The sequence below is a fragment of the Homo sapiens genome, chromosome 7 (genome assembly GCF_000001405.40).
Source record: "Homo sapiens chromosome 7, GRCh38.p14 Primary Assembly".
In the NCBI taxonomy this organism is placed as follows: Eukaryota; Metazoa; Chordata; class Mammalia; order Primates; family Hominidae; genus Homo; species Homo sapiens.
Genome location: NC_000007.14, coordinates 120,978,747 through 120,994,226, shown reverse-complemented (window position 1 = coordinate 120,994,226; position 15,480 = coordinate 120,978,747). Strand labels below are relative to the sequence as shown.

Here is a 15,480-nt window from a genome sequence, read left to right as displayed (position 1 = left end):
AAAAGAAGAGAGGCCTCTTGCCAAGAGTGCAAGCATTTTTTGCTGGATTTTTGGTGGATTTCTAGAAAGCAAAGTTATCAAACTACTGCCTCAGTAGTGAGTAGGCCACATTGCCTCATCTACCTTTCTAGTGGGCATTACTCACCATTGTTGTGGTCATCAAACTAAGGACAGCGTTTTCACTGTCTCTGAAGCACAGACCTGGAAGCTCCTACTCACAGTACTGATTGAAAAGGAGAGTCCACTTCACCTTTGCACCTGCAGGACGACCCCCACCCAGGGGCGAGCTTCTCTAGTGGCTGCCCTGAGAAGCCAAAAAACTCAACCTGCAAATACCATGAGAGGGACTCCAATCAACAAAAGGCAGGAGAGGAGATCAGGTGATAAATTGCTTGCTCTTTCTGCTCCTTTTGTCCAGCACCTGTACTGAGACGTGGTCGTTGAAGAAAGCCTCTCTAGAAATGACTTGCAATAATGTACTCCCTTCTGTTTGCTCTCCCTTCTCTGTTCTTTCCTCACTCTTGTGTCCCTGGGATTGCATTCTCCAACAAAGTGTTAGCATGCAAGTGTTTGCCTCCAGTTCTATTTCTAGAAAACCTGGGCCAAGTAAGGAATTTTTTTAGAAATTTTCAAATGTTAAATATACTATTTACTATTAGAAATGCAAACAAGATTAATTAGATCATTTTCAATGAGAACATCCACTTATTTGCACTGGGCTATGTTTTGATCCTTGAGAAAGTAGATGTCATATAGAATGGTCATTTAAAGAGAAGGGAGGGTCAAGAAGACATGGGAAATGAATAGTCAAGCAACAGTCAACAAAATAGTAGTTCTCATTTTGGAGCCATCAACAGGAGGTAATCAGAAACACATGGCTATGGTGAGTATAAATGTATTCCCCAAATAGCAAAGTTTCCATTAAAGAAGCATATATTAAGGAGATTTTCTTTCATTGCTTCTGTTTATAATTTAATGTGCTTCCTGTGCTATGAAATGTTAAACTGTTAGATGCTATAAAATAGATAAATCTATTGAGTGACCTACTTTGATGAAGACAACACATCTGTGTTTATATATTAAATTGAAATAATTTTAAGACTTGGCAGATTGTCAGGCAATATTCAGACTACTGATGTTGAGAGAAAACTCAGAAGAAGTGACAAAAATACATCTGCTTAGCCAAGCCCTTTGCATTATTCAAATGGAAAAATGAATTAAAGTTTGGCAAGAAAGAGGGAGAGTACTTCCTCACTATGGAAAGTTGGCATATATTATACCATGATTTCAATCCATATTGAAAACAGCTTTACACATTGAACCAGATCCCATGTGTAAAAGTGTGCAGGGTAAAGTCACCCACCATCAAATATTTGGTAGTACAGAACCCTCCATTAGGAGGCTGACAAAGTACAAAAGGTCTTCTCATAGATACAACTGCAACAAAAAAGGCTGGGAAATATGTATTACTTATTCAATGAATAAAAACTCTGATCCAAGAAGTTTTTACTTCTGTGTATTTACTTTGGTTTCTGAATATTTATCCCTGCAAACACTAAAACATTCACTGAAACACTTGTTCTAATATGCTCAGTTGAAGTCTTTAACTATGATTTTTTGATTTTAGGTTTTTAAATCTACATCCAGTTTACACATCCTGGAGGGGCAGTTAGTTTAACATGTAAACATACTGGTTGTTAAGCATTTGTAGTGGTTCTTAGCATGTTTTTAGTTCTGAATATCTGACATAAATCTATAATTTTCCCCCCAAAGATCTTCACATACACCTACATTACAGTATTTTGCATAAAATGTCATGGATGTATACATTTCATACATCTAAATACATTCTGGAATCCATGAACCCTAGGTCAAAATCAGCTGGTTTAAGTAACTTTTAAAAACACTTAAAGCAAAGATTTGACTAAGATTTGACTAAATAAAAGTAATAACAAAATCCAAAATTTACAGATAGAAACAATGCTACTTCTATAAAATGCCTCAAAGCTAATTCTAGGTTTTCAGGAAACCTATATAGCATCTAATCAGTTTTTTTAAATGAACTTCACAAGTAGTTACTTTAGAAAATGATCAATATATTGATCCCAAAAGCTTTCTCTCTTCATTTTAGCCATCTGAAAGAGTATCTAATAATTTAAATTGGAGTATGATTTGACTCTTTTTTCAAAACATATACTATAAGTAGAATTAATTTGTATCTGGTTTTAATTAACATGTGTATGATACTTTCTTTCTCACTTCCTTTCTGTCTCAAATAAAAAGTGGCTTTAATCCAGGGGCTGGCATAGGTTAAAAATGGAGTGACATGGCTAATGTTTGGAAATCTACTTTCCATATCCACTGGGCTCCTGAACTATAATTGTAAATTTAGAATCTTGCTTACAGTTAAAATACTTAAGACTGTGAATCATTTTTAAACGAAATTCATCATGTGTTTGGCATTTTTGGTGAAGAAAATTCTCAAGTGAATGTTTTACACCAGGAGCCAGTAAGTTTCAGATGGTTTATAAGTAGTAGGAGATTCAAAGTTGAAATCGAATTTTCTATGACAGCCCACAAATAACAGCTAACATATGCCTAAATTACAAACAAAGTAGGAATCACACAGAGTGAACAAGGGGAGTAAGAAAGCTGTAAGTTCATGAATAAAACCTTTTCATTCAAAATTCCTAGCAAAAATTTTAGGCATTAAATAAGAGCAAGACTATCTCAACTATTTTTTAAGAAATTGCCTTTCTCAATGTTGAAACTAACAAGAAATGACTTTAACAGTCACAGTTTACATCCATTGTAACTGTGATGTAGTCAGGAAAAGAAAAAAGTTAATGCTAGTATAAATGAACAACAACAACAAAAATACACATTCTTCAATAACTTTACTGTGCCTAAAAATAGATGTACAATTTCAGTTGCAGTTTCATTTTAAAGTGTTTCAACTTATATTATCTACTATTCTTTGTCATAAGATAGTTCTTGGTCAGGATGTTTCCTGGCATTACGGATAACAAATGAAGTCACTTAAAAGTTTAAAATTTTCCTTGTTTTAACTTAATGTTATTTTGTATTTCAGTAAGTTCTTGTAGTTGTGGTTTCAAAAATTATTACAAGGGCTTTGAATTGACTTTTATTTGGAGCATCAGCCCTGCAGTAGGAACCAAGCAGCTTGATAGCTATTGCTCTGGGGATGCATCTTGTCATAATGCTAACCATGTGACCTACCTAAATGGCACTGTCAGGCTCCTTGTTCATAAAATGCTAATAATCCTATCTACTGTACCTGTCTCACAGGGCAGTAGTCTGAAACGAAATAAATAAAAGAGTTTTTAAAAGAAGTGGTGCTGGTCAATCGTGGAGGTTTTGGTAATAATGGTAGCAACGGAGCTGGTGTTCAAGTAGAAATTCTACTTCAAACGGTAACCGGCATCATAAGATCGACCAGAATCTACTGTAGATATAAGATGCTACTTACAGAGCCCTCTATTTTGTTGCTACAATACTACTTGTTGTAACATAAAATTTAGTAGCTTTGCCACCATGATCTTTTTTGCATGGATTTTTTTTTATTTCTTCATGTTCTGTTTTACACTTGACTATGTTACAGGTCATTATATTACTGATAGGCATGAGGAGAGTGGTATATTAAAATAGAAATCCTGTGTTACTTTGTGTGCTTTTTGTGTTTTTTTTCAATATTTGACAAGTAAGATTAGTAAGTTTATCTGAATAGTATAAATATAGAATAATCTGTATTTCCCTGATCCTATAAACAATAAAATACATTGTATCAATTCTTTTGAAGAAACCTATTATCCTATTATTTTAATGCTTTCGAAGTAAATATATTGCTTTAGAAATGTGGTCACCAATTAAGAATCAATCTAGCTAGTTACAAAATGAAACTTTGGAGAATCTTTGAGTCTGGAATGGTCTGGGCACTCATACTGACTGCCTTGAGAAAAGAGACACTCAAGGTTTATCAAAGTTTTTGAAACTTTGATTTATGTTTTTGAATTGTAAATCCTCAGATCTCTTAGAATACTGATATTTTAGAAAGAATCCACATCATTTTATGCCTCCTCCAAACTGTCTACTTCATTCCACTGAAATGAAGTGAAATCCTAAGAGATAAAGTAATGCCAGAACTTTCTGGAAGTAACTATAAGAAGTTGAAGCTTATGTAACGTGTTTCCCAGTCATCAGGTCACTCTCTAGGCTGTTTACACTCTGGATCCCTTTCAGACCTCATGGAAGTTAATTTTAGTTTTATAGAAAGGACAGAGAAGCAGATTGCTGTCTTTGCAGAAACTGTCTCCGTTAAGCTTATGAGAGTCTTACCTTTCTGGTTTCCTGGGCATTACCAGAGAGAAGGAAGCACTGTTTGTCCTGAGAGAATCCTTTCTTGCATCTGCTTGCCTGGGTTTCAGTGGATGTGTGTGGGACAGCCCCAGGGGCAGCGGCTGTGAGCTTCCTCGACCCTCGGAGGGTCAGAGTCTGGTAGAAGAGACAGATTGCCACCACTAAGCCCACCAAGAAGGGTCGGGGGCAAAATCGCCGACGACAAGGGAACACTGGGCGACAGACCATGACCAGTTCAGCTTCACTTGGCCCCTGTCCACGTTGCGGGAAAAGTCATAGCAGCTATTTTTTGTCAGCATGAAAAATACTAATCTGTCTTCTTTTTCCCCAACTCCAATCAAGTTTGCTTCATCCCTGCTTAAGAATTTTCCAAAAGGTTGTGCCAAAGAATCATAGGTCCCGAAAGTCTGAGGCTTTTAATAAGAGCTCTTCCATGGATGACAGTCAAAAGTGGATGACCTGAGTTTAAAAAAAGACATCAAATAATAATAGTTGTAACGAATAACCTGAGTGTACCCCAGGCTGCCAAACTGTTGCTTCCAGCAATGCCTTATTCTCACATCTTTCAACTCACAGTAAAGGAGTCCGACTCTGCCTCAGCTTTGCAGGAAGAGAGAAAACAATACCAAAGTATATCTGGAGTCTGAAAACAGCATTGAAGAACGCAAAAGATTAAAACCCAAAGTGCCTGTTGCACAGCTGAACTCAGGCCAGGTTGCCTTAGCAGTTCCTCAATTTTCCTCCGGTTTTAAAGCAGTCTTGCTTTCAGCCTTTTGTATGCTTCCCTTCATTTAGTTTTAAATTCCCACTGTCCTGTAAGTATTCACGGCTTTTAACATAAAAAGGGCATACGCAATTTGAATGGACATGGTTACTGTCAGGGTTTTTGCTTGAATTTGTTTCATTCCGTCTCAAGTTCAAAGTTCTATGTACTTACTCAGTTTTCATCCTTTTAGCCAGGAAAAAAAAAGTTTCCATGATTTCCTAATGGATTGCTGATGAAAACCACTCGGAAGGAAACACCCAGTCGTATGACTCCAATTCATCTCACACACACACAGAGAGAGACACACACACACACGCACACAGACACATAAACACACGCGCGCGCGCCCGCTGCACGCCCGGCGGGAGCAGAGGACCTCGGCATCGCAGCCACCCGGGGCCGGGCAGAGCGGGGCGGAGCTAAGGCCGGGTTCCTCTGGCCCTGGGGGCTGCTGGAGCAGCGCTGTCAGCCCTGTGTCCGAAACCGTGGGCTTCCCCACTTTGGAAACAGCAGCTAGCATTTCCCCAAATGAGGCTGCCCACCCAGAGCTGCAGAATTTAGAAACGTATCTGATGTCTGATCCTCTGTGCAACTTCTTTTTCCTAATACAGAATTGGAAAAACAAATAGCCTTAGCCAATTGGTGACAAAGGTCGAGAATGAGACTAAAGTGAACTCCATGAGTGAATTGGGATATTCTTCACTCCAGGGAATTGTGGTTACTCTTCTGAGGATAAGAGGGTCACAAGTACTGTCTGGACCTCAGACAGCAAGCACCAGAATAACTCAGTCGTCTCTCTGTGTCTTAGTATGGAACTCAGATCACAGATGTTCTTATTACTCCTTTCCTGGACTAATTAATTGGGTCTTTCAATGATCTGATGCTTCATGGCCTGACATTTTGCTCCTAAAATGAGTCGATTATAGCAGGTGTTGGGGGTAACTTTTGCCCAGTAGATAAAGGTACACAGTGGGCTTTGTCCAGAATCAGCTCAGTCTAATTCTGTGCAGACCTTCGGGTGGACGCTGCTAATAGTGCAATTCTGCAAACCCCCTTCCACTTTTGCTGAGGCTGTCAAGGCGAAAGGAAATCAGTCCTTGCTTTGTGAACTCTGGATACCCAGGGCTGTCTTAGCGCATAGCAGGCATTATTTAAAGGCTCTGGACCTGAAGAGGTTTTCAAACTTGTTTCTAAGCCAAACTCTTGTGGGTTGAGGTTCTCCGTGAGGCCACACCCCTAGAGTGAGCCTCACCCAGAGGCACGCTGCTGTCAGCCCCTTGTATTTTGAGAGACGGAGCGCCCCCTAGGGGTGCCCAGCTAGCACAGATTCAGAGAAATGGGCATCTAGAGTTCCTTGCTTGTGAGAAAGAAACCCTTTTAACATCCTATAGAACAAATTAATTAACACATTACAGAAGAAATATTCACACGGAAGCTGGATTTATCCCAAGCCCTTGCATGTATCGCCTCCAGTGGCTTTAATATTATTTTATGTATAGGTTCAGAGTCCTTAATCTTATGACAAATGGGATAGAGAAAAATAAAGTGATGCTTCACTTTTAGAAGCCAAAAGAGTTTTAAGAGAAAATGGCTGAACAGTGGTGTTGTAGGACATATCGTTTTGGTGGATGCAATGTGATTTGAGAGATAATAAGAATTGTGAGATTTCTAAATTGGAATCCAGGGTGTGACAATGCTGTTACTGAGTGATAAGGAATAGGCAGACAGTTCTATTAAGTTCTGTTAAGGCAAGAAGTCTGAAAAACAGAGTTTGGGGAATCTAAAGAGTCATTCTTATGCTTTATTAAATTGTTGAGAACAAGGTACAGAAGAAAGTAAATCAGATGCTAAAATAAAATTGCCATTCGGTTGGGAGAAATGAAAGACAACAGTATTGAAAATTTTAAGATAATATAGCTAGACTTCAAATAATGGGAATTGGGAAGAAGGTGGAAAATTAGTATCCCAGAAATGATTCTAGTAGATTAAAGAACCCCATTTCCCATTTTAACCACTGAGTCCAAGGGAGTGGAAGAAAGCAGTAAGGAAATATTTGCAAGAGAGAGAAAAGAGGTAGCTTGAGAAGGTGCAAACAAGAGGTGGAAAGGAGATATAGCAGGAATTATCACCAAATAGACTAAGGCGATACACAAGCATCTGATTTTAGAGTAAACCCAATCTGGATATGATTCATGGCACTGCCTTTTATCAGCTGTTCTTAAACAAGTGGTTTGACCAAAGTCTCAGCTTTCCTCATTCGTGATATAAGGATACTAATGTTTCCTTTGAAGTGTTGTTGGTACAACTAGTTGAGATAATATATGGAAAGCAACTAAGCATTCTGTATTTGCTGGATAAATGAATGCTGAATGCATGTATGTTAAGGTTTGAATCCTGAGGCTGTGCTCCTTCCTCACTGAGTTTATGGGAGATGTGGTGTCAGACACGTAAAAAGATAATTATCAAATAATGAGTCCCGTGGAACATCTAGACACCAAAAGCAAACATGAGCTCTTAGTTCTCTTCCTTTCCCTCTTTGAGATAGAAGTGCACCCACCAGCAGATGCTGGTTTGGGAGGACAAGGGCAAGGGTGGCATGAAAGCAGCATGTGGAGACTCTACCTGAGAGGTATTTACACCTGAGCAGTAGGTTACACACATTCGAATGGAATGACAGAGCTTGAAGGAGTCAGAAGAGTGAATGAGGCCGGTTGCGATGTCGCTCACCTGTAATCCCAGCACTTTGGGAGGCCAAGGCGGGAGGATCACTTGAGCCCAGGAGTCTCAGACCAGCCTGGACAACATGGCGAAACTCCATCTCTGCAAAAAATTAGCCAAGCCTGTTGGTGTGTGCCTGTGGTCCTAGCTACTCAAGAGGCTGAGGTAGGAGGATCACCTGAGCCCAGGGAGGTCAAGGCTACAGTGAGCCATGATTGTGCCACTGTACTCTGGCCTGGACAACAGAGTGAGACCATGTCTCAAAAACAACAAAACAAAACAAACAAACAAACAAAAAAATAGGGAATAATAAAGACAGAGAACAAGTTAATTTAGGGATGGGGTTAGAGGGTAAATATTCACGAGAAATACGAGGCTGTAGATTCTGGCAGTATTTCAGACTAAATGCTTTTGTGCATATAATTTCATAAAGTACACTTTACACTAAATAATTTCAGTATTCAAGGGCCTGTATTTAAGCAGATTAATCTGGGACAATAGATTAACAGGCCTTTCAGGATCCTATCATTTCGAGCTTGGACAAAACAGAACAATCTTTCTCCCCAAACCTCTCCAACACAAAATATACGCTCCCTTCCCACACATTTCATTTGGTCTTTGGTATGGAGTAGGTGTAAGAGGAAAGTATGCACTCAAATAATTGTTTGAAGAAGGTATTTTTTTTAAATTTTTTTTAACTAAGGGAATAAAAATATTCTTAACATAAAATTCCAGTGTTGGATTAGGAACTTTGGGGAAGTAATATATCTCTCTATCCCTCTGAGTCCCATCTTTCTCATAAAACAGGAGTTTCAGGGATCAACTGATGACCTCAAAGGTCACCCTAGGCTACGAAAATGTATGCTTTTAGGGATACATTTTGACATGGATTTCCTCTCTGTCTTCAGATTCTGGGCTCTGTTGCTTTCCTGCAGGGAACAGCCTTTCCCTTTCAAGATATTATCTGACTATGATAAGGTAAAATCCAGCTGTAGTTACTAGCAGTGACGTCATGGATTAAGTGCTGGAAGTCTTATCAGCAATGCCTGGTCTCTAACCTTCCAGTCCCTCTTCCCTAGAAAGTTTGACAGCCCTCTTCTCAGCTCCTATCACCTCTTATCTAATGCTGACTCTAGAACTTGCCCCATAAGCTATGAACTTAAGATGAGGTTTTTAAACCCTGAATGACACATTGAATCTCTACTATGCAGAAACATCATCCTAGGTGCTGGGAAAAACAGAAGACATATGACAAATACTATGAACAACTGAAATATAAGAAACACACTGATGAATGGGTCACAGCAGGATAACTGCTGAAACAAATAACTGTAAAAATAACCATAAAATTTCATTGGCTTGATACAATAAGAGCTCATTTCTCACTCACAACATTTTTAAGTGTTTGTCAGTTTTCTCTAAGACATTTGGTACCTAAGGTCCTTCCACCTGGTGACTTTCCATAACCTAGAATCTTGGATACTCATTGGGATCCTCTGCCTCCCATTAGCAGACAATGAATGAGAAAGGGCATGGTGAATTTTGTGGGAGGTCTTTTATGGGCCAAGCTTCAAATTGGCATATACCTCTTGTGCCATGTTCTATTGTCCAGAGCCTACTCACATGGACCCACCTAACAGAAATGGAGTTGTGAAATGAGATCTAGTTACATGCCCAGGAGGAAAAGGAAATAAGGCTGATAAACAGATAGCAGTCCCAGCCACAACTAAGATGGATATATTCCAAGCAACATGGAGAATCAAAATAAGGAGTTCACATCTTTTGAGAGGTGATAAGAAAAAAGTAACCACTTCCCAACTGGGCCCTAACAAGTCACAAAGATTTCAACTACTGCAAGAGGGAAAATAAAGGTCTTATGTCTTAGTAGGAAACCACCGAGATATAGCCGAAAAAGAGTGTTACGTTTAGGTACAGATCAAGGAGGGCTATCATTTCCAAGTTTAACAGTTTATTTAGCCTTTATCTGCAGACAGTAGGAATCCAAAATAATTCTTTCCCAGATTTATTAATGAAGATATGGTAGTTTTCAGGGTAGGGTGACCATTGTCTCCAATTACCTGAGAATATTGTTATGTTACTATTGTCTTCTATTGTAAACTCACAAAGCAAAATCTCCTAGTTTTATAGGTGGGAAAAGAACAACATGAGTCAAATACATGTGCTTATTCTATTGCAAAACACATGTAAGATTTAATTTTAAAATCTGTGTAAAATGTCAGATTCCTGCCTTAGAGTCCTTAACTGTCCCTTAGGAGACAAATGCTGTATTCAATTAAGGTATATGCAAATACGCCTGATGATGTATTATTTCAGAGTTATGTATACACAGAGTGTAACTTTTGTACAGACTATGGACTTCAATTTAAGACGCCTGAATCTTTTATGATGCTTTCTATGCATTTTTTTAAAAATGAATATTTCCTGACCCAGCCATCCCATTACTGGGTATATACCCGAAGGACTATAAATCATGCTGCTATAAAGACACATGCACACGTATGTTTATCGCGGCACTATTCACATAGCAAAGACTTGGAACCAACCCAAATGTCCAACAATGATAGACTTGATTAAGAAAATGTGGCACATATACACCATGGAATACTATGCAGCCATAAAAAATGATGAGTTCATGTCCTTTGTAGGGACATGGATGAAATTGGAAATCATCATTCTCAGTAAACTATCGCAAGGACGAAAAACCAAACACCGCATGTTCTCACTCATAGATGGGAATTGAACAATGAGAACACATGGACACAGGAAGGGGAACATCACACTCTGGGGACTGTTGTGGGGTGGGGGGAGGGGGGAGGGATAGCATTAGGAGATATACCTAATGCTAAATGACGAGTTCATGGGTGCAGCACACCAGCATGGCACATGTATACATATGTAACTAACCTGCACGTTGTGTACATGTACCCTAAAACTTAAAGTATAATAATAGGAGCAAAACCTTGGCATATCAGTATGGAGCAATATTTTAAAATAGACTATCCAATAGACTATTTTAGTGAAACATTAAAAAATGATAATCATTATGATAAATATAATTTTTAAGAGTCAAAAAAAAAATTTCCCTCTTCCTTTTCAGTGGTCCTAAAACCACCCTAGGCTGTGAAGGGTGGTAGCAGGATATGGCAAAGGTCCAGGAATTGTGTCAAAGGGTGATAGGAAGAATGTCCAGGACTCCCCTTGTGCACAGCATTTGTCCAATTTACATGTGGAAGTACAATGCCGCACTGAAAATTCTTCATTTTGCTACTATTCCTTTCTTAGTTTTTGTTTGCCAATCTCTTTGTAAGTTTCTAGATGAACAAACAGTCCAGATAGACCAAATCCTCCAAAGTAAATGCTTTTAATCTTAGATTGTACATCAGACCTGTGTTTCTGAGCATACAAATCACCTGGAGTTCCCCTATGCTAACACTTGGTGCTGCCTGTTTTAAATGGGACATACACATTTCAGTTTTCCACTCTTTTCAATGGGTCACTTTATTTTTCACAACTTACTCTTTTTAATAGGCATTTTGAATTTGCTTGCACCAGTACCAGAATTGTTTTCATTACACTTGTGCTGTATTTTAGTTACTAGTGTACTTATAATCTTTTGCCATATAAACTGCTTACAATGGAAGATTTTACTCGCCTCCATCCCCTGGGAGCATCTAGCACCCTTGGCAAGTGATTGTTTAAAAAATTTATGTTTATAGAATTCTACACATCAAAAATTCAAATATTTCCCATTATTATTTGAATTTTTCCACAAGGTTTCACATTATGGTAACATTTAACTAAGTAGAGGCAGTTTTGTCCCCCCAAACAGGAGACATTTGGTAATTCTAGAGATATTTTTGGTTGTCACAACTGGCAGGGGGTGGTAAGGCAGTGGCAGAGATGCTACTGACTCCTAGTGTATAGAGGCCAGGAGTGCTGCTAAATTTATCCTCCAGTCTACAGGACAGCCCCCACGACGAAGAGTCATTTGGCACAAAGTGTTGAAAGTGCTGAGGTTGGGCAGCAAAAGAAATAATCAACAAACAGACAACCTGGAAGTGAGAGAAAATATTTGCAAACTATGCATCCAACAAAGAGCTAAGATCCAGAATCTACAAGGTACTCAAACAACAACAGAAAAACAACCCCATCAAAACATGGGCAAAGAGCATGAACATTTTTCAAAAGAAGACATACAAGTGGCTAAAAAACATACGAAAAAATCAACATCACTAACCAGAGAAATGCAAATTAAAACCACAGTGAGATACCATCTTACACCAGTCAGAATGGCAAAAAGTCAAAAAACAAAAGATGACCGAACATGGTGATTCATGCCTGTAATCCCAGCACTTTGGGAGGCTGAGGCAGTTGAGCCCAGGAGTTTGAGATCAGCCTGGCCAACATGGCAAACCTGCATCTCTACTTTCTACAGAAAGTAGCTGGGAATGGTGGTGCATGCCTGTGATACCAGCTACTCAGGTGGCTGAGGCACAAGAATTGCTTAAATCCAGGAGGCAAAGGTTGCAGTGGGCTGAGATGCACTACAGCCTGAGCATCAGAGGGAGACTCTAAAACAAAACAACAAAACAAAAAACAGAAAAACAAAAGGTGTTGGTGAAGATGCAGAGAGAACAGGGAACCCTATACACTGTTGGTGGGAAAGTAAATTAATGCAACCTCTATGAAAAACCCTATGGATATTTCTCAAAGAACTAAAAACAGAACTACCATTGGATCCAGCAATCCTATACAGGGTATCTTCACAAAGGAAAAGGCATCATTATATCAGTCTACAGCCATACGACCCTGAACACACTTGATCTCATCTGATCTCAGAAGTTAAGCAGGGTCAGGCCATCAGGCCTGATTATTCCTTAGACAGAAGACACAATTAGTCAAAAAGATACCTGTACTCCTATGTTTATTGCAGCACTAGTCACAATAGCAAAGATATAGAATCAATCTAAATGTCCATCTACAGTGGATTGGATTTAAAAAATGTAATACACACACACACAACACACACACACACCATAGGAGTACTATTCAGCCATTAAAAAAAGAATGAAATAATGTCTTTTGCACCAACGTGAATGGAACTGGAGGGCATTTTCCTAAGTGAAATAAGATATCAAATACCACATGTTCTCACTTATAAGTGGGAGCTAAACAATGGCTATACCATGGACAGACAGAGTGGAATAACAGATATTGGAGAGCCCAAAAGGAAGGTGGTGAGGTGGAGGGGGACTGAGGGTTGAAAAATTACCTATTGGGTACAATGTTCACTATTTGTGCAACAGATACACTAAAAGCCCAGACTTCACCACTATGCAATAGAGCCATGTAACAAAATTGCACATGTACCCCCAAAACCTATAAAAATCAGCATTTATTTAAAGTGCTAAGGTAAAGAAACTCAAAATTAACTGAACAAATAGCTGTTGCACATTTTTTTTACATACGGCTACCTGAAATTTGTCTGTTACTAAAGTTACAATAGTGAGTGCCTCAGCAGCTTATGGCAATGACATGATTAACTTCCTTAGAATTTTAGCCATTTCCCGAATGTGTAATTATACTGCTCCCCAAAACAAATGCAACTTTGGGCATATAATTTCCTTTAAGCCTCTCAAATTTGTTTTTGAAATTTGCATCCTCTAAAAGATTATATATACAGATATAGAGATACATCTGTATATATGTATACACACATTCTAAAAGAGAGACAGGTAGAATCACTTCAATTAGTGGGCACACATGTAAAATCGGGGCAGGTGGGAGGGATGAGGTAAACATTTCATTGGGTAAATGTTTAACCCAATGAATTATACTATTTTTTTCATTACTTTCTTCAGGACATAAATTTATACCTTGGTATGGAGCCAGAATTTCTGCTTTAATCAGTTCAATAATATATAAAACATGAAAATATTTAACTTTCATTTGTTGTATGACAGATCAAACAATGTTCTCCATGAAGAATCTCATGTGTCTTCTCTGTAAACCTGCAAAACAAGATTCTTGGAAACTGTATACATTTTTGTAAATGACTCAAGATAGCCACATAATTTAGCTTGCTTTCTTATTTTCTTTTCCTTTTTTCTTGCTTTCTTTTTTTAATGTATTCACAATTCAGACAGTCATTTCCATTTTCAGAAAATAAAAGGCATTTTAAAACTTTTATATAAGTGTCATTTGACTATCTGAAAATTGATGTGTGTGATGTGGATGGGAGGGAGAAAGCTTTTGTCTCATCACTTCAGTGAATGCTGGCATTCACATAGCTAATCTGGCTGGGTAAGAAGGAAACATTCTTTGACTGAGCATAGCCCTTTGGTCACATTCCACCACATGAAGTCAAAAGGTTCCTTCTCTATCTAATCTAAACCGTATGATCCCTAACAATATATAAGCTTTTTTTTTCTTTTTTCAACAGATCACTCTTTTAAAAACATTTATGCATGGTGACCACTGGTAAAGTGAAAATGTGTTTTGGCACATTTGGGAAACCCACAAAAATTATCTTTACAACCAGTTCCTCAAAGTATTCAAGAAAAAAAATGAATGACCATATTAAGATAAATACACAAATACTTCAAGGATATAATCATAAACTTTGATAAACTCTAATGGGATATATACCAGGGAGGTCATATCCCATTAGAATTAGATTTTACTAATACCTCATATTTACCTGAGCATAAATATGAGGCAATCCATTAGAATGATTTTACTAACATTTTAACTAGTTTTATTAAAACCAAATAGTTTAAATATTAAAACTAGTTATAATATTAAATTGTTCTAATGGATTGCCTCATATTTATGCTCAACTCAAATGTATGGGGCATTACATTTGACTTATACAAATAACTTGATACCTGTTACAATTGTTCTTATTTTAGCGCATCAGTATGGAGGGTTCCTGTACTGGAGCAGACTTAACAATGCAAAAAATAATTAACATATGAACACTAACTTTATTAAACCTGTAAATGTTTTAAATTAGTCCATCCTCAAAGACTAGCAGCACACTAGTATACACCTTCCTAAGTAGAGCTATTCGTATGAATTAACGTAGGCAGGTAGAGGTGGAGAAAGTGAATAAACAACACATCAACAGACACACACAGCCACACTCTCACGTCCCACACTGGCAATAAGTTCCATCAAATCTTGAACTTTTAATAAGCAGCAGAAAGATGAATGATTATAATGTTCTCTTCTGTAATTTAACAGTGAAGAAAGTTAAAAGTGGTACCTGATTAACTAAAAACTGAATTATATAGCTCTGGAGAATTTATTAAGAAATTATTAAATTGCTTTCAAATAAATATTTTAATAATGCGTAGGCATCTAACAATCTATTAGTTAAAACACAGACTTAGAAGGTATATGAGACTTACTGCTTAAAACATAAACAACTGGCTTGGCACAGTGGCTCATGCCTGTAATCCCAGCACTTTGGGAGGCCAAGGCAGGCAGATCACAAGGTCAGGAGTTGAAGACCAGCCTGGCCAGCACAGTGAAACCTTGCCTCTACTAAAAATACAAAAATTAGCTGGGCATGGTGGCGCGTGCCTGTAATCCCA

At 38.1% G+C, this 15,480-nt stretch overlaps 1 protein-coding gene and 1 pseudogene across 5 annotated transcripts in view, besides 1 other annotated feature; one reads left to right on the top strand and one right to left on the bottom strand.

Annotated features, from left to right (window-relative positions):
- The window catches only part of CPED1 (cadherin like and PC-esterase domain containing 1), a 308,732-nt gene extending 303,216 nt beyond the window's left edge, over positions 1-5,516 (bottom strand). For 3 of the 5 annotated variants that reach the window (NM_024913.5, XM_047420856.1, XM_047420857.1), the window contains exons 1-2: positions 5,315-5,516; positions 4,357-4,836 (exon numbers count right to left, since the gene is read on the bottom strand). In NM_024913.5, the coding sequence (NP_079189.4) occupies positions 4,357-4,605 (249 nt within the window). In that variant the 5' untranslated portion in view covers positions 4,606-4,836; positions 5,315-5,516. Of the gene's footprint in view, positions 1-4,356; positions 4,837-5,314 lie in introns of those variants that run through there. The other 2 variants (XM_024446941.2, NM_001105533.1) reach the window with 1 other exon arrangement.
- Positions 6,261-6,340: an enhancer, noted in NCBI's record as "active region_26556". NCBI's record gives its function as "activates an Ori minimal core promoter by ATAC-STARR-seq in GM12878 lymphoblastoid cells {active_cell/tissue: GM12878}" and the evidence as "EXISTENCE:reporter gene assay evidence [ECO:0000049][PMID:35858748]".
- RNA5SP240 (RNA, 5S ribosomal pseudogene 240) lies at positions 12,674-12,801 on the top strand (annotated as a pseudogene).